The 26,434-nt window shown below is 52.1% G+C and overlaps 1 protein-coding gene and 1 long non-coding RNA gene across 26 annotated transcripts in view, besides 8 other annotated features; one reads left to right on the top strand and one right to left on the bottom strand.

Moving 5' to 3' along the window:
- PTPRE (protein tyrosine phosphatase receptor type E) overlaps positions 1-26,434 on the top strand; it is a 178,753-nt gene that overhangs the window by 139,126 nt on the left and 13,193 nt on the right. For 11 of the 24 annotated variants that reach the window (NM_001316676.2, NM_006504.6, NM_001323355.2 and 8 more), the window contains 13 exons: positions 1,162-1,261; positions 1,536-1,609; positions 3,302-3,438; positions 9,895-9,985; positions 14,711-14,787; positions 15,451-15,487; positions 16,855-16,952; positions 19,847-19,966; positions 21,895-22,058; positions 23,464-23,599; positions 24,073-24,222; positions 24,580-24,673; positions 25,910-25,986. In NM_001316676.2, the coding sequence (NP_001303605.1) occupies positions 1,162-1,261; positions 1,536-1,609; positions 3,302-3,438; positions 9,895-9,985; positions 14,711-14,787; positions 15,451-15,487; positions 16,855-16,952; positions 19,847-19,966; positions 21,895-22,058; positions 23,464-23,599; positions 24,073-24,222; positions 24,580-24,673; positions 25,910-25,986 (1,355 nt within the window). The other 13 variants (XM_047425578.1, XM_011539994.3, NM_130435.5 and 10 more) reach the window with 11 other exon arrangements.
- Positions 1,141-1,210: an enhancer, noted in NCBI's record as "active region_4197". NCBI's record gives its function as "activates an Ori minimal core promoter by ATAC-STARR-seq in GM12878 lymphoblastoid cells {active_cell/tissue: GM12878}" and the evidence as "EXISTENCE:reporter gene assay evidence [ECO:0000049][PMID:35858748]".
- Positions 1,511-1,560: an enhancer, noted in NCBI's record as "active region_4198". NCBI's record gives its function as "activates an Ori minimal core promoter by ATAC-STARR-seq in GM12878 lymphoblastoid cells {active_cell/tissue: GM12878}" and the evidence as "EXISTENCE:reporter gene assay evidence [ECO:0000049][PMID:35858748]".
- AS-PTPRE (lncRNA antisense to PTPRE protein-coding gene) lies at positions 11,504-16,197 on the bottom strand. Of its 2 annotated transcripts, NR_136149.1 has the most exons (4): positions 15,899-16,197; positions 14,459-14,616; positions 12,629-12,743; positions 11,504-12,141 (listed from the first exon to the last, which is right to left on the bottom strand). It is a non-coding gene; the product is annotated as a lncRNA antisense to PTPRE protein-coding gene (long non-coding RNA). The 2 variants fall into 2 exon arrangements; NR_136150.1 differs by lacking the exon at positions 12,629-12,743.
- Positions 15,740-16,939: an enhancer, noted in NCBI's record as "CDK7 strongly-dependent group 2 enhancer chr10:129860232-129861431 (GRCh37/hg19 assembly coordinates)". NCBI's record gives its function as "activates an origin of replication core promoter dependent on BRD2, BRD4, P300/CBP, MED14 and CDK7 cofactors, with strong dependence on CDK7, by STARR-seq in HCT116 cells {active_cell/tissue: HCT116}" and the evidence as "EXISTENCE:reporter gene assay evidence [ECO:0000049][PMID:35650434]".
- Positions 15,740-16,940: a biological region, named in NCBI's record as "CDK7 strongly-dependent group 2 enhancer GRCh37_chr10:129860232-129861431".
- Positions 16,271-16,320: an enhancer, noted in NCBI's record as "active region_4199". NCBI's record gives its function as "activates an Ori minimal core promoter by ATAC-STARR-seq in GM12878 lymphoblastoid cells {active_cell/tissue: GM12878}" and the evidence as "EXISTENCE:reporter gene assay evidence [ECO:0000049][PMID:35858748]".
- Positions 16,731-16,940: an enhancer, noted in NCBI's record as "active region_4200". NCBI's record gives its function as "activates an Ori minimal core promoter by ATAC-STARR-seq in GM12878 lymphoblastoid cells {active_cell/tissue: GM12878}" and the evidence as "EXISTENCE:reporter gene assay evidence [ECO:0000049][PMID:35858748]".
- Positions 17,280-17,878: an enhancer, noted in NCBI's record as "H3K4me1 hESC enhancer chr10:129861772-129862370 (GRCh37/hg19 assembly coordinates)". NCBI's record gives its function as "activates a minimal SCP1, AML or CMV promoter by ChIP-STARR-seq in naive H9 embryonic stem cells {active_cell/tissue: H9 hESC(naive)}" and the evidence as "EXISTENCE:reporter gene assay evidence [ECO:0000049][PMID:30033119]".
- Positions 23,111-23,308: a silencer, noted in NCBI's record as "fragment chr10:129867603-129867800 (GRCh37/hg19 assembly coordinates)". NCBI's record gives its function as "represses an EF-1alpha promoter that drives an FKBP-Casp9 reporter gene in an ReSE screen in K562 erythroleukemia cells {active_cell/tissue: K562}" and the evidence as "EXISTENCE:reporter gene assay evidence [ECO:0000049][PMID:32094911]".

Here is a 26,434-nt window from a genome sequence, read left to right on the forward strand (position 1 = left end):
AGGGTCCCTTTTAGAATCCAGATGAGGGGTGTGAGGTGAGCGGAGCCTCTGGGGCTGCGGAGCCCTCCCAGTGCCCGGAGCACCCTCGGGAGGCCGTGCCAGCCCTCAGGAGGAAGCGCATGGACCCTGCGCTGGGCTCAGGGCAAGTGATTGGTGCTTCTGGGAACTTAAAGAGTTGGAAGCCCGGTCGTTGCCTTCGAGGGGCTTCCCCAGAAACCCGGGAGCCAAGGCAGTCATGCTGAGGCCTGTTCACTCATGGCAGAGCGAGGTTTGCGCTTTGAGGCATCCAGGGCCCCTCTGGGTCCACAAGAGAGGAGTCCAGTGGGCTTCTTGGAGGTGGGGGCCTTTGAGATTGTCCTCGAGGAGTGGGAACATTTTGGTGATGAGGGGGCTGTGTGGCCAGCGGGGGAGGAGCAGGAACAAAGTGCGACGTTGGGAGAGTGGGTGGGGTCCAAAGGTGGCAGCGAGGCCACCAGTGTCCCTTGGAATTTGGGCTGATGAGCCAGGGGTGGGTCCTGAGCAGCAACAAAGCCACTTAGCTGGGCCTGGGGCTGTGGGTCTCTTTCTGGGTGAGGAAGGTCAACCTGTCAGGTACAAAGGACACAGTAAGAGGCCGGTGGTGGCTGGGCACTCGGCCTCTGACAGGTGGAATCGGGACCTGGAGGCTCTGAAAGGTGGGGTCACAGTGCGCCAGGGCCACAGGCCTCTGCCCAGCCCCAGGGCCAGGCCGCCTCCCTGTGCCTGAGCTCCTGCCCAAGCCCAAGGGGCCCTAAGAGCTGAGCTACGCCGAGTCAGCCTCCCGCGCTGTCCTAGGACCCTGCAGTGGACACCGGCCCCTTCACCCTTCTCCAGCTTCTTAGCAGGAGAGCCAGGCAGCCAGGCCGTGTGGGGGTCTGGGGAACTCACCCCTGTCATGCCTGCCCCAGGGATTTTGGACAAGTCACCTCACCCACTCCTCAGTCCCGGATTCTTTCTCTGAGTCAACAGCAACAACTAAAGTCGCTTCTCTGTTACCTCGTGGGGCCTTTTCAGGATGATGGATCCACTTTACAAAATATAGTTTGGGGTTCTGGTGTCCAGGAAGAAGGGCTTATGGAGGGAGACTCTTTTGCAAACTGTGAAGTGAGGTCAGGGGTTAGGGTCTTTCTGCTTCTCCTGCAGGCCCTCCGGACCCGGGCGCCTCCCAGCCGCTGCTGGCCTGGCTGCTACTGCCGCTGCTGCTCCTCCTCCTCGTGCTCCTTCTCGCCGCCTACTTCTTCAGGTAGGAGTGTCCCGGGGCACTGACTTGCCCCAACCAGCTCAGAGGAGGAAATGAGCCTTCTGATGCTGTGGGCGTGGGCTGTGCAGCAGAGGGCAGCTGAGAGGCTGGGTGGCTGGGCCTGGGAGACACACAGAGGCCAGGCCTTAGCGCGGCTCAGCCATGAGCAACAGGAGTAGCTTTTCCCGGCTCACCTGGTGGGTATCACTGTGCCGAGCGCTGTTGGCTCTCGGGGAACCTAGAAGTGTGGAAACCTAACGCATCCTGTGTCTCTAAGGTTCAGGAAGCAGAGGAAAGCTGTGGTCAGCACCAGCGACAAGAAGATGCCCAACGGAATCTTGGAGGAGCAAGGTACAGAAGCTGCTCTCTGGCTGGGGCTTGGGGGAAAATGTGTTCTTTTTTAGCAGACACTGAGGTGCTTTCTGCCTTTAACGTTCAAAGTAAATTTTGAGGTGTGCCTTGCCACTTTCATCTCACTCTACCTGGTATGATGCTGTCATTTAGAATTTCACTATTTCAAAACTTTAAGGATCATTTTTCTCTCGGGTGTGACATGGACGTTTGAGACATTTTTGTTTGTGGCTTTTTTTAGAGAGACTGTTCATATCCTGTCGTTTTCACAGGGTGTTGACATGTAACACTTTTCAGTGAGGCCTTACAATCATTCTCAGATAAGACTGTCTGGCTCAGAAACTATTCAGCTGGGTTTGTACTGCTTTAGGATCCAGCTGGAAAAAGAGACTCGCTCTCCTGAAGTGCTTCATGTTTACAGAGCATCAGAGTCAGCTGGGAGCATTTCCAACTTTTCCATCCGAAGTACAGTTTCGAACTTGTTGTCGCTACTTACAAAGGAACATTGTTTTTCTCTCCATACATAGAGATGAGATGACCGAGAAACGTGTGTAAGGCAGAGGCCACAAAAATATTGCTTCACACCCCAGTGACTACAACTTCCTGGAGTCAGCTTCCTACCTAACTGTAGTCAGTTCTATGGTTTGGGGGAACACACGTGCCGTCAGACTAAAATAGACTCTTAAAACGGACCCTTAGATCATTAAAAGAATATCACCAACAAGGACCCAGCTGAAATGTAGCCTCCCAGCGCTCGCGGGACCCGAGACCTGGTTAGACGATAATGTGGCACCAGGTGCTGTCTTCCTGCCCTCGTTCCAGTCCCCGGTTCCCTGCCCTGAATGTTTCAATAGCAGGAACGGAAGGGAGGAGGGTGCGGCTAGTGAGTAGCAGGGAAGCTCAGCATCACTCATTCTGATCCCATCTGTCACTTGGAGGAATGAGTCTTGGGTGAAGTTTTTGGCTGGGCTTCAGAATGGCTCTGCAGGTGGGGACAGGCCCTTTTGCAAGTGTGACAGCTGGGTTATCATGTTGACCTTGTCAATATCAGCTCATTCTCCAGGAAGAGAAAGACATGTCCATAACTGTTCTTGCCTCTCACTCCGAACTTGGGGAAGGAATGTGTCCAAGAACTCCCTTATAACGCGTACTTCTCCTTCTCAATGCCCCTTGTCACCCTCCCCAGACAAGGGTGGTTTTCCCTTGGAGCTTATGGGGTTTGAGGAACCAGGAATATTTGTTATGAAGAAGAAAAGGCTGAGAGAGAACGTTCTGAGTTTGCTCCCAGAAGCCGTAATTACTCTTTCTTATTTCCAAACCTGGAAAGCTGAGCTGGAGAGTGAGGCCGTCTTGAATCCTTTTTGGAAGGAGCAGGGGCTGGAGGGAAGGAGAGGTGGGAGGGTGGGTGGATGAGTGGCCTCGGGAGGGGGACAGGCTGTCTCCAATGGGGGAGAGCAGGTGACACTGGGCAGAGGGACGCCCGTCACTTGTAAATGATGTGGATGCCTCACAGGAGGCGAGTGTTTGGATACAGCTGCTCGGGACCCGGCTTAGCCCAGCTATGCGATTTGAGAGAACTGTTCCAGCTCCAGCCTGGTCATTTCTTCAGGAATGTCGTTGGTCAGCTTGGTTACTCAGTCGCCTATCCAGGAATGTGGCTAAATGGCCCCCATGTTTCTTTTGATCCCACAGAGCAGCAAAGGGTGATGCTGCTCAGCAGGTCACCCTCAGGGCCCAAGAAGTATTTTCCCATCCCCGTGGAGCACCTGGAGGAGGAGATCCGTATCAGATCCGCCGACGACTGCAAGCAGTTTCGGGAGGAGTTCAACGTGAGTGTGGGGAGGGCTCTCTGCTGGGTGCCCTGTGGTGGAGACCTGTGAAATCCAGTGTTAGAGTTCAGGATGAATTATCCCAAAGACTCAGAACCCTTGCATCAGTTATGACACTGTCCCATGAATGGGCGTGTGAGGAAACCTGGTGTGTGGTGCAGTGCCCTTTGCCAATGCTTATTTCCTCATTTATAAGATGAGACAGTTGAGTTAGAGGTTTGTGAAGCCTCCTTACACCTCCCCACTCTGAGTGTCAAGTTCTAAAATCAACTGTGGCAGAAACACTGTTATCTCGATAACACAGAAGGCTAGGACCTGAGCGCGGCACGGTATGACAATATCATGGGGAAAGTAACAGAGCCCCAAACCATCCTTTCATGGCTTCTGAGAGCTGGAGCACCTAATCAGAGTAGGCGATGTTCCTCTTCTGAACCACCATCTCGGCATTAATGAAGCAGCTGTGAGCTGCCTTGAGAGAACACTAGCTATATCTGCTTGTGTATCAACATGGGTGGGTGGGTGGGTGGATGGATGGATAAGTGGGAGGGCAGAGGGATGGATGGATGGATGGGTGGATGGATGGATGGATGGATGATGGATGGATGAGTGGGAGGGCAGATGGATGGATGAATGAATGCATGGATGGATGGATGAGTGGGAGGGCGGATGGATGGATGGATGGATGGATGGATGGATGGATGGATGGATGGAGTGGGAGGGCATATGGATGGATGAGTGGGAGGGCAGATGGATGGATGGATGGATGGGTGGATGGATGATGGATGGATGAGTGGGAGGGCAGATGGATGGATGGATGGATGGATGGGCAGATAGAGAAGTAGACAAACAGATATGAGGAAGTATTGTCTTGGATTTTGCTATTCAGTATTTATCCTTGGTCGTGTTTTGAATTTTATGCATCTTCACCTTCTTGCATGTGGCTGTGCTAAGTGTTGATCTTAAAGAGGATAGATTTTCAGCAGGATTGCTAACTGGTCCTGGCTATGCCTGTTGCGTGCTGGCCCTGGCACATCAGTTAATTTCCTTGAAGCTGTCTTCCACCACCTAGGAAGGGGCAATGGAGATGGGCCTGTCTTAATTACCTTGAAGTTGGAATGGGAGGCTCAGACAATGGATTTTGTAAACAACAGTGTTGTGCAGTTGTTATATCTGAAGATGGCATGAATTCTGCTGCAGAAATGAGACTTTACCCAGAAGCAACGTGTGAAGGCATGGGAAGGTGGTGGCCCATGTAAACTGTACATTGCTTGTTTTTTGGTGCAAGCCTCCTCTGCCTTTATCTTACTTCCTTTTTATTGTTTCCAAATGTGTCCCCTTTTTTGGAGAAATTAGGTCATATTGAAAGACAGCTTGAAGCACTATTGTGTTGCAATCTCTCAGCCTGACAACAGACCTTAATTCTCATTTTCAAAATAACTATCCAAGTTTTCAGCTAGCAGATCCCCTCCCCCACCCTTCTCATCCCATTTCCCCTTGCACTTTTGTTTCCCCAAGTGACAGGGGCTGGGCTTGCTGATGGGGGTGTCTGAGTCAGAACCAGCTCAAAAGAGGGGGCCACTCCCAGGGAGGGAGTCCAGGAATAGGGTGGGGCAGGTGAGACACTCACCCCAGGCACATAATTTAAGACAGCACCAAAAGCTCAGCAGTGGGATAAATTATATTTTAACATAACACTTAAAATATCAAAATTATCAGCACCACAGGAAAGGTAACAAATACAATATCAAAATGAATACAGGCAGTCCCTGGTGAAGAAAATAACACGACCATAAAGGAAGACAGGCTTGGGCCGACTGATTTTCCCTGTTGCCCTGGGCCCTGATACATACGGCTTGTCACCACACAGCTACTCATCCTGCCATTAGTTAAAAGTTTCATATTTTGGTCATCATAGATTTTGTGCCTTGATTTGGACTTTTAAAAATATTGCATTCGAATATTATTTCCCCTGGTTTCTGAATTTTGGGGGCACCCCATTAAATTTTGCACCCAGAGGAAGTTCCTCATTCTCTTCTGCCACTGGGTGGCCCTTGGCTGAACATTGGAGTCCTTGTGCTCAGTGACAGGCAGGGTAGAGACGCGGTGGAGGGGAAGAACACTGGACCCAAAGTCAGGATCACGGAGCCTGATCCTGTGTCTGGGGAACCCTGGGGGAGCTGCTTTTTTGTCATATTTTTGTTTTATTTGTTTGTTTGAGATGGGGTCTCGCTGTGTCTCCCAGGCTGGAGTGCAGGGGCCTGATCACAGTTCACTGAAGACTCAACCTCCCAGCTCAAGTGATCCTCCCACCTCAGCCTCCCAAGTAGCTGGGACTACAGGCATGTGCCACCATGCCCACTGGCTTTTTTACTTTTTTTGTAGAGATGGGGTCCCACTGTGATGTCCAGGCTGTGCTTTTCTGCTCATCTGTCCAGTGAAGGGCTGGCCATGTCCTGAGTCCACGTTGATGCAGCACCCGTCCTCTGAGAGCACTGGAGCCTGCCATGGCCAGCTCTCTCTTGGGTCCTCAGAGGGACATGCTCCCAACCCCATCTTTCTTTTCTCTTGCCGTCTGATCTGAGCTCCTCTCCCCAAAATCATGAAAGGGAGACACCAGAGTCTCAAAGTGGCCGATCCAGTTGAGTTTTGACATGTGTGCATTGCCAATTCAAAGTGCAGGCAAACTTGGTGGGGATGAAAAGGATTTGATATTGGGGTCAGTACAGTGAATGCTGGAGTCGGCCTGAGTGTTTGTCCCGGCTCAGAGAGCTTGGGCAATTAACCTCTGCCTGTTTCCTCATCTATGAAATGAGGATACTCCCTGCCCCCCATAGGATTGTGATAACATGGACATGAGGTTGGATAACCTGGACATGCAACTGAATCCTTACGAGACCGCACTCTGCAATCTCCACCCTGCACTGGTAGAACACCATCCTAGGAAAGTCTGCTTCCAGGCCCCAGAGTAAGTCCTGGAAAGTGAGCACCACTGGGCCAAGGAAAATCCCCCGCTTCAGACAGGCTCGTCCCTACCTCCATCCTAGCAAGTTATGTCAAGCCAAGTGCCTAGGACTAACACACTGATACGTGCTGTAAAAGTGCAGAGGGAGGTGTCAACCGCAAAGCTTCCAGCACAACAAACAAACCAGAACCATTCCCTGGAGCTCCATAGAGCAGCTGGGGCCTCTTGCAGAACTGCCCACACCTAGCTTCTTGTACACTCTCCTGCTGCCTGCCCGACACTACCGAGCGGAGAGAGAAAGGAACGTGGCTCATGAGTTCATTGAAATGAAATCTCTAGGCCGGGTGTGGTGGCTCATGCCTGTACTCTCAGCACTTTGAGAGGCCAAGGTGGGCAGATCATTTGAGCCCAGTAGTTCCAGACCAGCCTGTCCAACATGGTGAAACCCCATCTCTACCAAAAAACTACAAAAATTAGCTAGGCGTGGTGGTGTGCACCTGTAATCCCAGCTACTCAGGAGGCTGAGGTGGGAGAATCACTTGAACCCGGGAGGCAGAGGTTGCAGTGAGTCGAGATCGCGCCACTGCCCTCCAGCCTAGGTAACAGAGTGAGACCCTGTCTCAAAAATAAAAATGTTAAAAAAGGAAAGAAATGAAATGAAATCTCACCTCAAACAGACAAACCACAAACAATTTGGACAATTTACATAATGGGACAGCCAATCACACAATATTTATTGGCCAGTTACTATGAGCAAGCCCCAAGCAAGACACTGCAGGGCTCATCCAGGTGTGCAGACCCCTCCAGGTGCTCTCCTTTCCCCTGGGCCACCTGAGCAGCTCAGAGATTTGAGACCCCAGTAGACTGACAGCCAGAGAAAGGGCTGCAGAGTCCATGTGGGTGGTTATTCTGTGCACTTGGATCCAGGATACATACGTGTGCGGTGCACAGGGCCCGATGCCCCTCCCCACTTCAACTTTGACCCTCTGTGCATCTGGGTGGCTACGCCCCATCTCCATGGTCTGGATCTCTGCAGCTGCCAGGAACACGCAACCGTGGGGTGTCAGAGCTTGGTCCATCCTCGCCATCCAATCCCTCCAGGGAGCCTTCTCAATTTCTTTTAATTTATTTATTTATTTATTTATTTTTTGAGAGAGAGTCTCTCTCTGTCCCCCAGGCTGGAGTGCAGTGGTGAAATCTTGGCTCACGGCAACCTCCGCCTCCCAGGTTCAAGCGATTTTACTGCCTCAGCCTCCCAAGTAGCTGAGATTACAGGCGCCCACCACCATGCCCAGCTAATTTTTGTATTTTTAGTAGAGACGGGGTTTCACCATGTTGGCCAGGCTGGTCTTGAACTCCTGACCTCAGGTGATCCACCCGCCTCGACTTCCAAAGTGCTGGGATTACAGGTGTGAGTCACCACACCTGGCCTAATTTATCTTTTAACAGACTTTATTTTAGAGCAGTTTTAGCTATACAGAATAATTGCACAGAAAGTACAGAGTTCCCATATGCCCCCTTCCTCCCCTGTGAGCAGTTTCTCCTATTATTAACTTCCTGCATTTGTGTGTTTCAACTGCTGCAATTGATGAACCAACACTGCTCTGTTGTTACTAGCAGAAGTCCACACGTCAGGGTTTGTGTGTTGCGCATTCTGTGGGTTTTGACGAATGCACAGTATCATGTACCCACCATCCGGTATCATGCCTCCCGTGTATTTTCAGTGCTGGGGCCAAAAAAAGCTTTTGCGGGTAGAAAAAGAGAAGGCTCTAGAATTTTACCACAGATGTCAGGCTTAGATTAGGTCAAGAAGGTCAGTATTAAGATAGCCCTGATGAAGAATCAGGAACTACAGGCGGCGTAGGTGCTGGTGGCTGGGGATGAGGCCAAGAACCACCTATCACCCTTGCCACAGTGCCGCCAGACAGGTCCCTCCACATAGGCCACCCTCTTGCCTCTGCTTTGGGACCAACAAACCCCATGGCCTGGAAGGGCCTCAACCTGTGGCCATGGGGTTTGGTGGCCCCAAAGCAGAGGAAAGAGGGCGGCCTACGGTGCCCCACCATGAGCTCCAGCTGGTCAGATCTGAGTCTGCAATTGGAGAAGCTTCCTGCCCTCAGGAGAGGAAGACTCGGGACACCTGTGGGTGGCAGGTCAGGCTGTGCTCTGCATTGTGAGCAAGCCCAGGCCTGCACGGCTTGGATCCAAAGCTACGCAGTGAGGCCTGCTCTGCTCTCCTGGGTAGTTGCAGCGGGACCCCTCACATTCTCCTACATTTGAAGAAGTGAACATCCTCCTGGTAGTCTGGGTGCCGCTCTAGGCTCCTGCCCCTTGCTTGCTGGGTGACCCTGGACAAATCTATAACACCTCGCTTTGGCTTTCAGTTTCCTCACCCATAAAACGGGGACCATCCTAGTATCACCTAATGATAGGTGAGTTGCAAAGGCTGGGGCAGATGACCCAGCTCCTTCCACCGTACCTGGCGCACTGAGACACTCAGTGCATATTCATGCATGTTACTGGAATCCCAGTGGCCCCGGGTCCAGCCGCTGGTCGGGTGTAATGTCAAAGGACAGGACTCAGGGCTTCAAGAGGCTCTTCACACTGTGCATTGTGGGGAGCTCACCTGAGCAGCGAGCAGACGCAGGAGACAGCTGGAGATGACCAGGAATCAGAGATGGCGGCTGCAGGCGGCAGAAAGAACTAGAATGCAGGCCACCAGAGTTCACGCTCGGTTATGCTGCTCAGAGGGGATAGGGGCCCCGCGGCATTCCTTGCACACCTGACTTCCCTGACTGGGACAAAGGAGTTGGTTAGCGTGGTGCTTCCCAAAGACGTGTGCACTGAAGCCCTGGGGATCATGGTAATGTTCGTGCTGATTCTGTGGGTCTGGGGTGTGGACAGAGCATCTGCATTTCTAACAAGCACCCTCCCGGGAGTGCCCAAGCCACTGGTCCACAGAGCACACCTGGAGTCTTAAGCAAGATCAGGACTGTATCTAAGGCTGTTTCCCGCCCCTTGCCTCCCAGGACCGCTCTATTCATCCTTCAGCCCCAAAGTCACAGCATCCCGCTGTAAACCCTCCGCATGCCTGTCCTCGCTCCCCCATCTCCCGGTTCACAGTTCTGTCGTAGTCAGTTCTTACCAAATCATAGGCACCTGCTCTAGGCCAGGGTCCATGGGCCCTGAGATACCATGGAAATGCAAAGGCAAGTCTCCGCCTTCATGCAGCATAGGATCTGGCTGATGAGACCATCACTTTGGCCACACCACTGTTCACCCCACATGAAAGAGCACCCTGGGGAAAGCCAGGGTCTGTGTCTCCTTCATTCTCTGCCCCATGCCTGGTGCAAGGTCTGAGGCAGAGACGGACTATGGACAGCAGGTAGTTTGCTCCACGTGTTTTCATTAATTCCTGTGCTCAGTAGGGAAACTGACATGAGCATGGTGCTTGAATCCATCACATTTCATACTAATGCTACATTTTCTTCCAGTCATTGCCATCTGGACACATACAAGGAACTTTTGAACTGGCAAATAAAGAAGAAAACAGAGAAAAAAACAGATATCCCAACATCCTTCCCAGTAAGATTTTATTTTATGTTTTGCATGATCAATGGTGTTTGCACTAAACTCAGCTTTGCCTTGCAGCTCCCCGTGACTGCAGGCCATTCCTGGTGCTCAGAGGCCCCAAATCAGTCTAACTGCTCAGCATTTGCACCTAGGACTCCAGAACGTTCCTCTTTAGGTGCCCATCTCCCTGCACAGGCCCTGGGTACCTTGGTTGCTCGTGGGTCTGGCTGCCAAGCCTATGCTTACTGTTGGGACCTGGGCTGCCTGGGGCCCAGCGGGTAAGGGTGCTGCTTCGTGGCCATGGGTGCCAGCTGGCAGGGCCCCTCCTGTGGAACTCAGGCCTGGCACCCAGTCTAGGCCTGCCAGTGGCCCTGGGCAGCTCCCTTCCCTCAGACTCAGTGCTTGTGACCACAAGCTGCAAATCCCTAGAGTTGTCTGGGGTCCTGGACCAATGACAAAAATAATAGAATACGAAATTTGTAGGTGGGCAGCAGCTTTGTAGGAAGGCTCTGAATCGACCTGATTTAACCCCAGCAGTACAAGTGGGCATGGGCTGGGGAGCGTGGGTGCCAGGAGGTGGCAGGGCCAGAGAGCAGACGGATGTGTGCGGGGGTGCGTCTCGGTGACCTGCTCCAGCTGGATGGGTCGTGACCTGGGGGCAGCTTTCACAGCCTGTCTTGGTGCCAAGACAAACCCTGTAGGTTCTGAACCGCCTTTGTAAGAGCTGGCCCGGGCCGGGTGCTGTGGCTCATGTCTGTAATCCCAGCACTCTGGGAGGCCGAGGCAGGTGGATCACCTGAAGTCAGGAGTTCAAGACCAGCCTGGCCAAGATGGTGAAACCCCGTCTCTACTAAAAATACAAAATATTAGCCGGGCATGGTGGTGGACGCCTGTAATTCCAGCTACGTGGGAGACTGAGGCAGGAGAATCTCTTGAACCTGGGAGACAGAGGTTGCCATGAGCCGAGATCGCGCCATTGCACTCCAGCCTGGGGAACAAGAGCGAAACTCCATCTCAAAAAAAAAAAAAGATCTGGCCCAGCAGCAGGGGGGCGGGGCGTGCAGTTGGGGATCCTTCACCTGGGCCCCTCCCATCATCTGCTTTGCCCATCAGGCTAACAAAATGGCATCCTCAAAGGGCTCCACTAAGTTCAGGTTTAAATCCCGAACCTGCAGCCTCCGCCTGGTCCACAAAGGGAGTCCATCCCACCCTGCCAGGGCCTTGGTGGGATGGAGGAAGGCAGCCCATGTGGGCCCCGGAATGCTGCTCCCTGCTGCATTTTTAGGACTAGAATTGAGTTCATCTGCTCTGTATGTCAGAGCAGCTATGGTCTGTCCGATCTGTGGTCTGTCCAAACTGTGCACTTTTTAGAAATAATTCTGTCCCATTTTACATGCGTGGGATTGATATGTGGTTTTCACAAAACCCACTGTGAACCCATGATCCAATGAAAACTGGGAGAAATTCATCAAATAGTCTTTCATTCAACACATATGTGTAGGGGTGGCCAAGGCAACACCAGGAAGATGGGTCAGGAGGTCATGTGGTGGCCACACAGCTGAGCCTTGACAGTAGCTCAGACATGGCTAGATGCTGCACACTTTGGAGAGGATTTGTTGCCAATGGGTAGAAGATATCACAGAAAGAGGGGAGGCAACTTACATGGCTTGAGCAGCTCAAAGGAAAGGAAGGCCATGGCAGGAGGAGGTCTGAGATCTTTGGAATAATGTGTGTCAAATTTGGGATATTTAGAAATTAGTTTCACTGCTTAATTTATTACCTTAATTGAGTGGTTTTAAGTTGTGCCTTGATTTGCCAACCATATGTGTTAAGAAACCGCTCAGTGCTAAGCACATTCCTGAATTCCTCATTTCTCTCAATCACTAAACCTTCATCCCTTAAAGGTAACATCACATTGTTAATTAAGACTATTTAGCTGGGACCTCTGTGGAAGCAGAATCATGGCCAAGTGTGGGCATTACCTACACCCAGTCCCCTTCTCAAAGTGTGATGGCCCAGGGCAGAGCAGTGGCCTCACCTGGGAGTCCCCCACCTGGAAGAGGCCGGGCCCACCCACTGCAAGTCTTCTCTGAGCCACGTTCTCAAGTCTTCTCTGAGCCGCGTTCTCCAGGTTGTGCTGCTGGAGTCAGTTGGCATTTCCTCCAAGCCTGAAAGTGTAGTCAGATTCAGAATGGGCTTTTCTAGATTCCCCTGTAAGATCTTTCCCCTGCTCCTGGCAGGAGCACCACACCATGGGAACCCCAGGGCCCACGCAGCTGCCCGGGACTGGGGGACCAGGACGTGGCACTTCTCACATGGGTGGAAAGATGGGTTTACAGAATGGTGGCATGGAGACGCTGTGGCCTGGCAAGGATCAATGGGGTGGCATCTGGCATTAGCCATCAGGAAGACTTAAGGCTGAAGGGACATTGGGCAGGGAGCTCTCAGGGCTGCTCCACCCGCCCCCAGGGTGACAGCCCATAGTATCACTTAGGGTGGGACTGAGAGTCACCTGGGGGAGAGGAGAGAAGGGGCCCAACTTCCCCAGCCCCTAGTATCACTTAGGGTGGGACTGAGAGTCACCTGGGGGAGAGGAGAGAAGGGACCCAACTTCCCCAGCCCCTGGCACCTTCCCTGCCTTTCCCAGTCTTTTACCAGAGTCATAAGATGGTCCTTGGCTCTGGGCAGGCATGTGGCCCTGGGGAGCTCTGGGGTCAGAGGTCAAGGTGCTTTGCATGTCAGGCAGGCTTGACTTTTGCCTGTAGAAAGACTATAGAAAGATGGCAAGCTAGGCCTCTTTTCTGGAAAAGTGCCAACAGCTGATAATTTTAGGAAATAATGTTTTGAATGTGAAGTGTGACTTTTTAGAATAAAAAGACAGGAAGCTCTTAGAAACTGCAAGATTCTAAATCTAAGCAGAAGGCTATATTTTACCCTGTGCTTTTCTATAGCTGTCCTCAAAGCGTAAACCATTCCAAATTATTTTCAACTAGTGTTATATGTGTTCAGCAGAGCTATTTCTGCCTGGGCATTGCCAGTCCCTGAGCAGGAGGGTCTCACAGTGAGGTCTGCAGGACTGTAAGTTTGGGGTCTGACTCCCTGGCCACCCTGTGTGGGCTGTGACTGTCTCTCAGAGCTATACCCGCCCTTTCTCTGCTGGCAGCCCGACAGAGCTGGCTCAACCATCGGAGGTCGCAGGCCACCAGCCCGTGGCCCACCTGGCAGCCTTCCAGGTGAAGGTGAGACAAACAAGGCATGACCTGGGGGCTGCCCGGCTCCCCATCACAAACGCCACAAACACCACAAACACAACCCACCCTGATCAGAGACTAAGCAGAGAAAGCAGGGAGAGGACCTAGAGTTACTCAGTAATGACTCAGGAAGGAGACCCTAAGCTTCTACCACATGCCAGACTCTGTGCCCAGTGCAGCATAAACGTCCTCAGAACCAGCCTGGTCCCAGCCTGGCCGAGCCGGACGTTCCTGGGAAAGGTTACAGGAGGAGCAGGGCCAGGCCCACAGCACTTTTAGAAGCCCATGAAAATGTCTTCATTTCTCTTCAAATCACAAACAAAACGTGCAAAACCCATTCTGGAGTGCATCTTTTCACTGGCGACCAACCCAGTCCTAAGATAACCTTCTTAATAGTTCTATGGAGGAAGCTGCAAAGGCAGAAGTGACTACAACCCACAAAAGTCATGATGGAGCCCTGACGTGTGTGTACACACACACTACATGCACACACACACACACAACACACACACTACACACCCACCGCACATAACGCACACACATACACACTCCACACACACACCACACACTCCACACAAACATATCACACACATACCACACACATACACACCACACACATACCACACACTACACACACACACACACACACACTACACATACACACCAAACCCACATGCACACATTCACACAGCATACACACTACACACATGCACACCACACATACACCACACACACTACACACATGCACCATACACACCACACACACACCACACATTACACACATACACAACCACACACACCACACACACAATACACACACACCACACTCACTACACACACACCCCACACACAGAGCACTCCACGGTCAGCCTTCTACCCCGGAAAACTGCTTGTGCAACAGGCTGGATCTACCAGACGCTCCTCACTGTGCTCGCCTTCCAGCTCTGGGGCAGACTCCGGTGGTGGGACTGAGGGTCAGAGTCCCCAATCCTAGACCCCCACATCCACTTGTCCTCATGGGGCTGGTGCTCATTTCCCTGGGAAGCCTGGGAGAGTGGACCCAGTTCTCCTGTCCTGGGGCTCTTTTAAGTGCACCCACACTTGGCAACACTGGGGCTGGGCCCAGTGCAGGGTTCATAAAATACAGCCCTTGCACTGCCAGGGGCCTGGCACATTCTGCTATTCTTGCTATGTAATGACCCAGCAGCCCCCATCCTGGATGCTGAAATCCTACCCTTGTCGTCATGCCACAGCTGAGACAGTCAGTGTTCACCAAAGCAGGTGCATTCTCTCTCAGGACACTAGTGTTCTCCATGGGAACGCTGAGGAAGAACATCTCTGCCATCCCTGGTGTCGCTGTGAAGCTGCTTTTGCCCTTCCCAGGAGCTGACACTGCAGATGAAGAGACAGCACTGTGATTTCTGGAAGAGACAGCACTGTGATTCCTGGTCCTAATATCTTGGCTTTGTTTGGGTTTTTTTTCCAGATGACCATTCTAGGGTGATTCTGAGCCAACTGGATGGAATTCCCTGTTCAGACTACATCAATGCTTCCTACATAGATGTAAGTGGGCAGAGGTTTCTTGTTCCCCTGGCCCAGCTGGGGCATGAGCAGTAAGCACTTTCTTGTCTGGTGCCCGGAGTGTAAATTGTCACAACCTTTCTGGGCAGTTTGGCCACAAGCACAAAGGGTACGGAACTGCCCGTGCTTTACACACTGGCATCAGCATCTGGGAATTTGAATTCAAGAGACAGAGATGATCACAGAGGATGTTCACTACAGCATTATGTATATTCCTGACCAAATAGAACAGGGAGCATGGGTAGTTAAACAGATTGTGGTAAAACCATGTGCAGTGGACTATTAGAACTTGATTTGTATTAATCTTTAAAAGATCATTTAATATCAATTATAAAATTCCCATTAAAAATACAACATAAAATAAATTGTACATGTTCACCCAATTAGAGGACAGAAATGTCTGCATGTCTGCTTGTGGGTGAGTCTGGGAAAGGTTTGGCAGAAAAACAGACTAGAGAGGGGACGTATGAAGTAGGATTTGTTATTTCTGGAATTGCTGGTGAGTTTTCTTTCCTTCTTAACCTTTTCCTGTGTTTTGCAAATTTTCCATGGTGAATATGTACTGCTTTCCTAACAGCAACACCAACAAATCCTTTCAGCAAAGATAATTCTGAAAAAATATAAATCTGATGTTATTTTTTCTAGGGTTACAAAGAGAAGAATAAATTCATAGCAGCTCAAGGTAAGCTTTTTATTAATTTCTCAACGTATTTTTGGTAACGTGAATAGCTCTTATTTCCTTCTCTGTATGCCAACAAGACCAAGGACTTATACTGGATTTGTGTGTGTGTGTTTACACCTAACAGACACGTTAGATATCCATTCACACAACGGATATGTGTAGTCAGAGAAACACACACTTATTCCCACACCTATATGGTGTGAACACAGGGCACGCAATGGCCCCGGCTGCCATTCCAGCTTGTTAATACTTGCGTCAGATAACCTTGAATTTCTCTCAGCTGGCTGAGCCCTACATGGCTCCCCAAGTTTGGGCGAGGGGTTAGTGGGGTGAATAGCTTTTCAGATCAAGGCCATAACTAAGAATATACTTCAGCTGTGAAAACGTGCCCTTCACCTTGCACAGGGCTACCTTGTGTGTTGAGTACTGAATCCAGCATCACTCCGTTCCACCAGAGGTTGTCATCTGCAGGACCTGGTGTACGTGCGGTTAGATATCAGTGGAGCTGAAACCAGATTCCTCAGACTTCCTCACTCTTAGGCCAGGAGTCTTTAGGGCAATGAGCTCTGAAAGTCAGCGTCCATCAAAATCACCTGGGAAGTTGTTACAAATGCAGAATCTCTAAGAAAAAAGGACACACATGTGCACACGCAGAGGCCATCAGGAATGTGCCCAGCTGGAAACCTCAGGAAACCTGACGATCCTGGCTGAAGCAGATGAAAGCATGTGTTTCTCTCTTGCCAGCAGACACCCACAGGGAGCTAGCCCACGGCAGGACAGCAGCAGGGCCAGGGGCTTCCTTATCTCCCCGCCCATCCCCCTCAGCACGTAGCACTTAGCTCGGGACTGCAAAATAGCCGCAGCTCAGACAGGAAGTGGATAGGGGCAGAGGACTTTCTCCTAGTGACACTTTGTCTGTTGTTCACATCCCCCTCCCGAGGGACTTTAGCTCATATCGTATTGGACAGCACCATGCTGAGAGTAAGATTTTGACAAAGAGGAGGGGATTGGGAATGCAGGGTGAGGCTGGCCAGTCTCTGCCTCTCGCAAGGCTTTCACCAGCTCTCCCACACTTGGCTGTAGACCCAGCCCTCATCTGAACCCTGCTTCTTACCTGTGAACGTCATAACTCAACCTGGGCCCAATTATCTTGCCCACTGAGGAGTTCCTAGCTGGAGTGGGTGAGTGGCAGGACAGGCAGCCCCTACCGGTTCCGGAACGCTTCAGGGCATGACGTGTGTGTCCCCAACAAGCCTGAGAAGGGAGTGAACAGCTGTCCAGGGGCCAACGGCCAGGGTGCCGGGGCTGGGACCCCAAAGGGACTTCCCTTCATGCCTTTTGACTTCGAAATTGTCCTCTACACACAGGTCCCAAACAGGAAACGGTTAACGACTTCTGGAGAATGGTCTGGGAGCAAAAGTCTGCGACCATCGTCATGTTAACAAACTTGAAAGAAAGGAAAGAGGTGAGTTCCAGGCATCTGGCCCCGGTATCACTTCCTTTCAGCTGCTGCTGCCGGGCTGGGGATGTTCTTACCACTTCCTTTTCCTACTTCCCTCCCTTCCTCCCACTATCACTGCAGAAAAAAACCCAAACACATGCAGTGGCTTACAGCATTTTCTTCACGAAACAAATCCCCTGTGTCCCCAGCATCTCACTGTTATCTAATCTGTGATAACACAATGACACAAGAGTTTCCTTTTTTTCCCAAGTAAGAGTGGCCCCCGGCTGGCCCCATGGCTCTGCCTGCCTGATGAGAGACATGAATCTTAGAGTTTTAGGATGTTGAGCGTGTCATGCGGCAGAGCTCAGGCTAGAAATGAACATGATTTCGCGCTTATTATCCAGACTAGAGAAATGCTTTTGGAAAACGTTGGTATATTGAAGAAATGTTGATTTGTCATCCGAATATATTTAATTAGCTGTTTCTAATTCAAAAAAGGATGCATGTACGTTATAAGAATTTGAATCATTGACAAAGAAGAAAAGTTGAACTGATTCGTTTCCTAATGTAACAAGTACTCATTAGCATCTGCTGTGCTGGGCCAGCTCTGTCCCAGGTGCAAGGAGTAGGGGCTCAAATTCAGGGCTGAGAAGTGGTGGCTGTGGGGAGCCTGGGTGCGGGGGTGGGGTTGAGTGACAGGCAGGGAGCCATGCCATAGGCAGTGAGCTCACTCTCCAGAATGAAAGAAGAACTGGGAGCCTGAGGGACACTTACCACAGGTGGGGCGAAGTTAGGAGGCTGTGCTTCTGGCGTGTTCTGGCATGAAGGCCCGGTTCAGTGGGAGCCGTGTGTCCTGCCCGGCCCTGCTCAGGGCCTGCTGTGTCCTGAGCTCCTCAGTCATCTGCTGGCCTGGCCCCAGCAGTTCCCAGGCATTGTAGCGAGGACTGTGGGGAAGGGCTGCCATTTTTAGATGGGAGTACCAGGCCTTGGGGAGCTCAGCTGGGGCAGAAGATGGGTGGCAGGAGCCCACAGGAAGGGCAGGCTGGGAGGTGCTCTGGTCCCCGCAGTGCCAGCTTACTAATTGCCACCCAAAACACAGGAAGCAGCCTCCAGCCACCGTTTCTGGTCAGGAATAGGATGGAGGCTTTCATTCTGCTCTGGGGGGAGCTGAAACAGGACTGTGGAGGGCCACCCCTTTGCCCTTGCAAATCTTGCCCTTGTCATGCTTTGTCATGGGGAAGAGGGAAGAGTGACAGAGGGAAGTAGGGGATTCCCAGCCCAGGACTCTTCACTCTGCCTGCGCTGTAGCGGCCATGGAGGAGGACACCCACGCGAGGGAAAAGGAGGCTGACCCTTCATCAGGAGCCTCAGGGTCCCCCGTGACCCATGGCCCATAGGGACCAGTCTTCCTGGGGTTGGTGCTCCAAGCATGAGACCAGCACAGAAGCAGTGGGGCTCAAGGACGCCCTCACTTCCCTCTTTCAGTCATTCTGCTGAAAGTGTCACTGGCATTTTCTCTCCATCTTCCCCCACAACCTCCTACTGGATTTTTCCACTCCTGTGACTCAGTGCTGGGCTGCTGCCGCGTCCTCATTCTCACCAATTCAGATGAAATCATTTCTCAATAGAGTTCCCTTTTTCTTAATTGCTCACACTTCTGTTGTGGTTTCCTTGGCTTCCACATCCTGGGCTCTGCATTGCAAAACACAGCTGCCCTGGCATCTCATGATCGGGTGGGAGGGAGGCAGAGGGAGGGGGTATAAAACCAGCCACCAACACTGAGCCCTTGAGAGGCTGACACATGTTCTCAGTTCCTACTGGAGAGCCTTCAAGGTGAGAAGCTCAGGAGGGACCCCAGGGCTCCCCATAGGGCCAAGACTCACCCAAACCGGGACATGTAGGCATTTGCAATTCCCCTGGGCTGCATCAGAGATGGCCTGTGACCCACAGCCCCGCAGCCCCGCCCGGAGCCAGGTGTAAGGAGGGGGAAGTTGTCGGTAGCCGTCATAACACAATGATGCTGCTCTCTACTAAATACCAGATGCTGTTTGTTTCATAAGACTGTTAATCCTGGAGGCTTGACCACGAGCTGTGCTGCTCAGGGGCCATTCCCTGGATATACTCTCTGACTACTGGCAGGCTTGTTCCATTCCAGACATGTTTCTCTGGCAGATGAAGTAGATCTTTTCCCCCTTGAGGTGGGTCCTCATTCACTCGCGAAGTGATGGAGGACACCACCGGGCAGGTGCTGCGGGCGGTGCTGCAAAATGAAAGGGCTCCTGGAACGTGTATTTTGGGTCATTCTTGCTTCAGAGGTCGGGAAGGTAAAGAAATGGGCCTGTCTGTAGCAATGCACCCTCTTCTGCAGACTCCACGGCAGCCTCGTCCCTGCTAGAGAAAAATGAAGATCGTTAGACCAATCATAGGTTCATCACTCTTGAATGGCAGACTGGCAGTGGTGCAAATTAACTTTGTCCTTAGTGAACTGAGCAGGAAAAACACAAATTGCTGAATCCAGTGGGAAATGTCTGGGGGGAGCACCGTCCTTGCCCTCTAGCCTGAGGGTCACTTGGAGTTAGGTGCCCAGCTCTGAAGGCTACAGGCTCAGCATAACTGGTTGATGGTCAGTTAATAAAATGTATGGGATTCGTGAATGAATGAAGAAATGAGACATTGTTGCTGTCTACATCAGAAAGCCTTGGGGCATCCTAGTCATAGTTTCAAGGCTGCTGTTCACCAGTTACGCAGCCTCAGTTTCCCCATTCAAGAGGTCGACACACGTGAACTTGTTTCTCAGCTGTGGGAGCTGTGTGACTCCAGCTGGTGTGTGTGAGGCCTTCTGTAGTTGGGTGGGGGGATGTCATGATGCATTGCACCCACAGATCTATTTGCTTCTATTAAATTGTTCCGTGCAGGAAAAGTGCCATCAGTACTGGCCCGACCAAGGCTGCTGGACCTATGGAAACATCCGGGTGTGCGTGGAGGACTGCGTGGTTTTGGTCGACTACACCATCCGGAAGTTCTGCATACAGCCAGTAAGCATCTCTAGTTGCTGCCCTTCCAGAAAGATCATTTTCAGAGAGCATCATGCCCAGAGTTAACATCCTTCTGCATTTATGAAGTGCTTTGCTCCCAGCCCGGCACTGTCGCAGCCCTGGCTGAGAGGGTGCAGTGGCCAGGCTGTGATAGGCAGACATGCAAGAGGGCCAAGACACCAGAGGCCGGTGCACAAGGGTCTGCAGGCAGTGCTGGGGGCTCCTAATTCCTAGTGACTCCTCTGGGCCTCTCCAGGAGGAAGACCAGTCATTGGAGGGGCCTGGGGGTGAGGTCCTCCCTCAGTAGCACAGTGACATTTCACACACTGACTGGGAGGTGGGGTTTTTTTCTAACACTTTCCGAATTCTGTCTGAAACCTCCTCGTTATTTTCCACACTTGGGTTCTGCTAGTTCCACCACCCCAAAAGGTTTAAGAGAGAGATCAGTAAAAATATGTGTATGCAAAGCAGATGAAATCAAGATATAGAAGAAAGTTTAAAACCATAGAGAAAAGACAGAAGACCATTTTGTCAGGATTTAAAGATACAGTCATTGGCATAATTAGGTCACAAAATAAGTGTCTGAGGTTCCAAGAAGCCACAGCAAAAAAGGAAAAGGATGAGCTGATTATTCTTATCCTATCCCCTGCTGGCATCTCTCCCAGAAATGTGCACACAGGCGCACACAGGCACTCACATGCACACGCACACACATACTCCCACACACAGGCACACACATGCACACATGCACATACACCCACACACAGGCATACACATGCACACACACCCACACACAGGCACACACACGTACACCTACCCACACACAGGCACGCACATGCACATACTCCCACACACATGCATGCACATGCACACGTACACCCACACACAGGCACACACATGCACACACACGCACACAACCGTACAATGCATGCACGTTCACACACACATGTGCACACACACCCCACTCACATGCACACATGCACACATTCACACATGTGCACACACATACACCCACACACATTCACATGCACACACATGCACACACGCACACACATTCATGCACATGCATACATGTGCACACACACGCACCCACACACGCACAGATGCACACATGCACATTCACACATGTGCACACACATACATCCACACACATTCACACACGCACACGTGCACACATGCACACATTCACACATGTGCACACACACATACACGCACATGGGTGCACACGTGTACGCACCCACATTCACACATGCACACACATGCATACATGTGCACACATTCACACGTGCGCACATACACACATTCACCCACACATACATGCGCACACATGCACACATACACATGCATACATGTGCACACACATGCACACACATCTACTTCCAAATACGCTGTGTATCACCTTCCGTGATCTGGGCAAGGGAATTAAACTCATGGGCTCTGGGTCCAAAAGCTGAGAGAGGCTCTGAGGGCAGGTCTGGGAGACTCCAAAGAGCAGGCCGACTGCATCATCTGTCCTCCCAAATGTAAGACAGCTTTGCCCAAGGAAGGATGTGCTGTTGGTGATTACTCAGCACCACCGGCCTGAGGTGGGACTGTCCAGGCAAGATGGGCCATGGCCGCCCTGCTTGCACGGGGGTCTGTGAGCACACAGACCAACTTTGGGGATGTGTCTGGCTGCTTGGGCCCTGCCTGACCTGGGCATAGACGGTTGCTGCGGGCCCTGTTCTGTGGCCCCAAAAGCAGCACATGTTCAGAGTCGGCAGGGGTAAGGTCCAGGCTGTCTGGCTCAGGCAGGCCCTCTGTGGATGGGCCCCTCCCCTACGCAGCCCCAGCACAGGGGAGCCCACGGCGGCGTCCTCAGAATGAGATGCTGGGGGAGCAGGGGGAGGATTGTTTCACCCACTCTTGTCTCCCCGCGTCCCCCGCAGCAGCTCCCCGACGGCTGCAAAGCCCCCAGGCTGGTCTCACAGCTGCACTTCACCAGCTGGCCCGACTTCGGAGTGCCTTTTACCCCCATTGGGATGCTGAAGTTCCTCAAGAAAGTAAAGACGCTCAACCCCGTGCACGCTGGGCCCATCGTGGTCCACTGTAGGTACGCTGTGGGGGCCACGGGGCGGGACCCTCAAGGGCAGGCCACAGTGGGATGACTCATCCTCATGGGCAATGCCAGGGGACCAATATCAGGGTGGGCAGAGGTTTGGGCAGGGCTGATGTGAACACAAATGTCAGTGACTGAGCCAGGCCCCAAGAACCCTACAGGAGAATGTTCAGAGAGCCCCCTCTTCATCCCAGTCGATAAAACCCACCAAAGCCAGGAGGCTCCGGTTGATGGTGGGAATGGAGTTCTGGGCAGGTCTGCTTGGCCGCCCTCACCTCTCCCCGGGAATCCCAAGTCACCTCTGGGAACCAAGATGGAAATGAGAGAAAGCCCCCTGGTTTCTACAGGAAGCCCCCCAACAACACACAAGTCGTTATGGAAGAGCACACCATGCTCAGATGGGCCCCCACAGCAGAGTCTTCCAGAACACGCTGTCCTGGAGACCAGGGTCCGAGGACCAGGCTGCCCCTCGCCAGCTGCCACTTCAGCCTCGGTTTCCTCACCTGTGATGGGAAGGACAGCCTCGGCGGAGCCTGTGACTGGCATCTGGGTGGGCTTTGCACAACATGAAGAATTACTCAAATGTACAGCCAAGGCCACCCCACAACCCCCTGTCCACAGAGAGCCCCACTTGTTCCTGGCAGTGATTGGCCTCACCAGGGTATCACTTTGATTAGATACTAAGTTTCCATCTGTTACAGACAGGTTCATTCTGAGTATCACAGCACTGCCAGGGACAAAAGCCACCTGCACGCAGTGATGCAGGCGCTCTGCACCTGTCATGCAGGTGTTCACGAGAAGCCGTCCAGGAACCCCCGAAGAACGGGCTTTCCCCAAGTCTGAGCAACACTCGCTTGCTGGGGCCAAGCAGAGGCTGGACCCCACCCCACCCACCCTCCAGTGTAGCTCATACTGGGAAGAATTTGCAGGGTCAGATAACAGTAATCTGACAGATGCCACCTCACTTAATGCCCCGAGTCAGATGACTTGGTTTGCCCAGTTTGACAGAGAGGGAGGCTGGATACCAGAGCTGTTGCATAGTTGATCTGAGGTCCCTCTGCTCCCAGGGGGACAGATCTAGGATGCCAATCACACATATAAGAAGAAGACACTGTTTGGTAAGTGAGAAAAATTCTCCACACAGCCTAATCCGAGGCTTACTGCACCAGCTGTTAATGTGCCTCTTAGTAGAGTGTCGGTGGCTATCAGAGGACCGGCCTGAGATCACTTTACTGAGACCACAGCTCCCTCTGGTGGCTGCACTGTAGCTTTGCTCCTAATTAACCAAAAAAACAAAAAGTTGCATCCAGTGACCTGGGTGCGCAGGCCCCTTCGGGGCCTTTCATTTACTTCGGGAGGAGTGTGACTCACGACGCAGCATCTTTCTCTTTCCCCAAAGCGCGGGCGTGGGCCGGACGGGCACCTTCATTGTGATCGATGCCATGATGGCCATGATGCACGCGGAGCAGAAGGTGGATGTGTTTGAATTTGTGTCTCGAATCCGTAATCAGCGCCCTCAGATGGTTCAAACGGATGTGAGTCATGCCTTCCTCTTGCCCTGATCTAGCTTCCCAAAGCAAACCCGATGCCTTCGCCACACAGGTGTGCAGGGCCCTGGCTCTGATGGGCACGTGGCAACCAGCCTGGGCCTGGCCTGGCTTCGCTCCCCATAGCCTTCCCTGCCCACGCGTGGGACCTCAGGGACTCCCTCGTCCTCATCTTTCCCTCGTATCCTCATGTGAGATGGGGCAATCCTACTCCCCCAAACGGTGCATGTACACAGTGCGTGGCGTGCTCACCAATGTGAGGCTCTGCTGCTACCGTTCTCCTTACTCAAGGGCATAAATGGTCGTTATCCGTGGCCGGTACTCTGACTCTTGCCTCACACCTCCTTGTGTTGGCAAAAAGAGAAAAAGAAGAAAGCCGCCCTCTTTGGTCTGCCAAGCTCCACGTGGGCCAAGACTGCAGGGCAGAGTTGAGGGTGTGGGCACCCCTGGCCTCTCTGCAGATGCAGTACACGTTCATCTACCAAGCCTTACTCGAGTACTACCTCTACGGGGACACAGAGCTGGACGTGTCCTCCCTGGAGAAGCACCTGCAGACCATGCACGGCACCACCACCCACTTCGACAAGATCGGGCTGGAGGAGGAGTTCAGGGTGAGTACAGCTGACCCTCCTCTCCATCCTGGTGTAAGCAGCCAAGGGCACGAGGAAAACAGGTGACCATTTAAAGGAAGCCTCTTTCAATCACTTGCCCCTTAACTGACCTCAGAAAAAGCAGGGGCAATACCTGAGCCATGATTTACAAGGGAAGAAGGATCAGGTGGCTTTCAGAGCCTCATAGCAGCCCTACTAGGCACACATTTGTATTTCCCAATGCTAAGGAGGCTTCCTGGGTTGGAGAGTGGTTTCCTTTGAGCAGGCGTCCTTGCCAGCAGCACTAGTCCTCGGCTGAGCAATGTGCTCAGGAGTGTCAGAGGTTTAACTGTGTCATTATATCCTTCTCTGCTGCAGAAATTGACAAATGTCCGGATCATGAAGGAGAACATGAGGACGGGCAACTTGCCGGCAAACATGAAGAAGGCCAGGGTCATCCAGATCATCCCGTGTAAGGCACCCGTGGCGTGGCTTGGGCAGGGCTGGGGCGGGGCTGGTGCCGGAGGCTTTCATCCTGGAGAAGCCATTGACCGCTTACCCCTGTGCACCAGGGTCAAAAGCAGGGTGTCCTCTGGCCTCAGGCTAAGGGCTCCTGTGTGCTGTACCAAATGTCAGGTAGAAAAGACACCTGTGAAGCACCAGCTGACCCAGACAGTCCTGCATGGGTCTCAGGCAAGCTGCTTCGGATATGAGCTTGCAGATGCGGGAGGGCAGCCGAGGCTGATTTCAGGGGAGGGCTTCACAGAAGCTGGAGATTTGCGGCAGGCACGACTTGGGATTCCTTGTCTCATTCCTTGTCTCCCCAAGCCTGGGCAGAGGCCCGCCTCCCCCTTACACAGAGGGGCCTGAGCCACCCAGCCGAGGCCATGCAGGTGAACTCAGCTGAGACCACCTAGGAAAAGGCTGTGGCCTTGAGGAGGACAAGAAATGGGCCTAGGGTAGAGTCAGGACACTGGTCTGCCACCCAGGTCATGGGAGAGGGAAGGAGGACCTGGCAGGTGTGGGAGGAGTGGAGGCAAAGCTGGCAAGAAGACAGGGCCACATGCAGTGGGCAGGGGAGTGGGAATCGGGAGGCTCACCAAGTGGGAAAAAGAGAAACTTGAGAAACCCGGCCCCAAAGCAGACTCCACAGGGATCCGAGGAACTAGGGAGGGAGGTGGGAGATGCCCCGCTTGGGAGGAGGGTGTGCCTCGTTATAGACTTGTCCTCGACAGAGTCACAGCTCAACAAACACCATCTGGAAACAGCTGGGAGCAGGCCTGCTGCAGCAGGGTCTCCCCGAGCACTGCAGGCGAGTAGAGCTCCCCGGGGTGCTGCCATCTTCAGACTCTGGCCCTTGGTTTTCTGGGGCCCCGGTGTCCTGCTGGCCACTCTAGATTGCTTGCCTGGCCACATTCCATTTACTCCTTCAGCGCAATATTTTTAGTGCTTGTATTTTGGTATGTATTATATCGATTCCTGAAAAATGAAAATGATAATTGGGTGGTTTTCAGAGTTTTCCTTCAAAAAGAAAAATACCCCTGAGCCACTTTAATTATCGTCTCTCATAACGTAAACTTTCCAAAGAGTTGGCTTTACGTAGTGATTTTATTAATAGGATCTATATTTTGCAAGCTTGTAGCAATGGATTAAAGTTAGCAAGGTGGGACCCTTTTTGTAATAACTAAAGGAAGATAATGCTTTGCAGATGACTTCAACCGAGTGATCCTTTCCATGAAAAGGGGTCAAGAATACACAGACTACATCAACGCATCCTTCATAGACGTACGTATGCTGGCCTGGGTTGTGTTTATGCAGATGTGTTTCCTTCACATGTGACCACAGACTTGATTAGCTTGTTTTCACAATGAGAAAGAATTGACATGTTTCCAGAAACTCAGCCATTTTTGTTAGCAGAATTACTTGCTTAAAAAAAAAAGTGGCAAGGCACGATGGCTCACACCTGTAATCCCAACACTTTGGGAAGCTAAGGCGGGCAGATCACTTGGGGTCAGGAGTTTGAAACTAGCCTGGCCAATATGGCAAAACCCGTCTCTACTAAAAATACAAAAATTAGCTGGGCGTGATGGCAGGTGCCTGTAATCCCAGCTACTTGGGAAGCTGAGGCAGGAGAATTGCTTGAATCCGGGAGGCTGAGGTTGCAGTGAGCTGAGATTACACCACTGTACTCCAACCTGGGCAACAGAGTGAGAGCGAGACCCCCTCTCAAAAA

This window comes from Homo sapiens, chromosome 10, assembly GCF_000001405.40.
Source record: "Homo sapiens chromosome 10, GRCh38.p14 Primary Assembly".
NCBI lineage: Eukaryota > Metazoa > Chordata > Mammalia > Primates > Hominidae > Homo > Homo sapiens.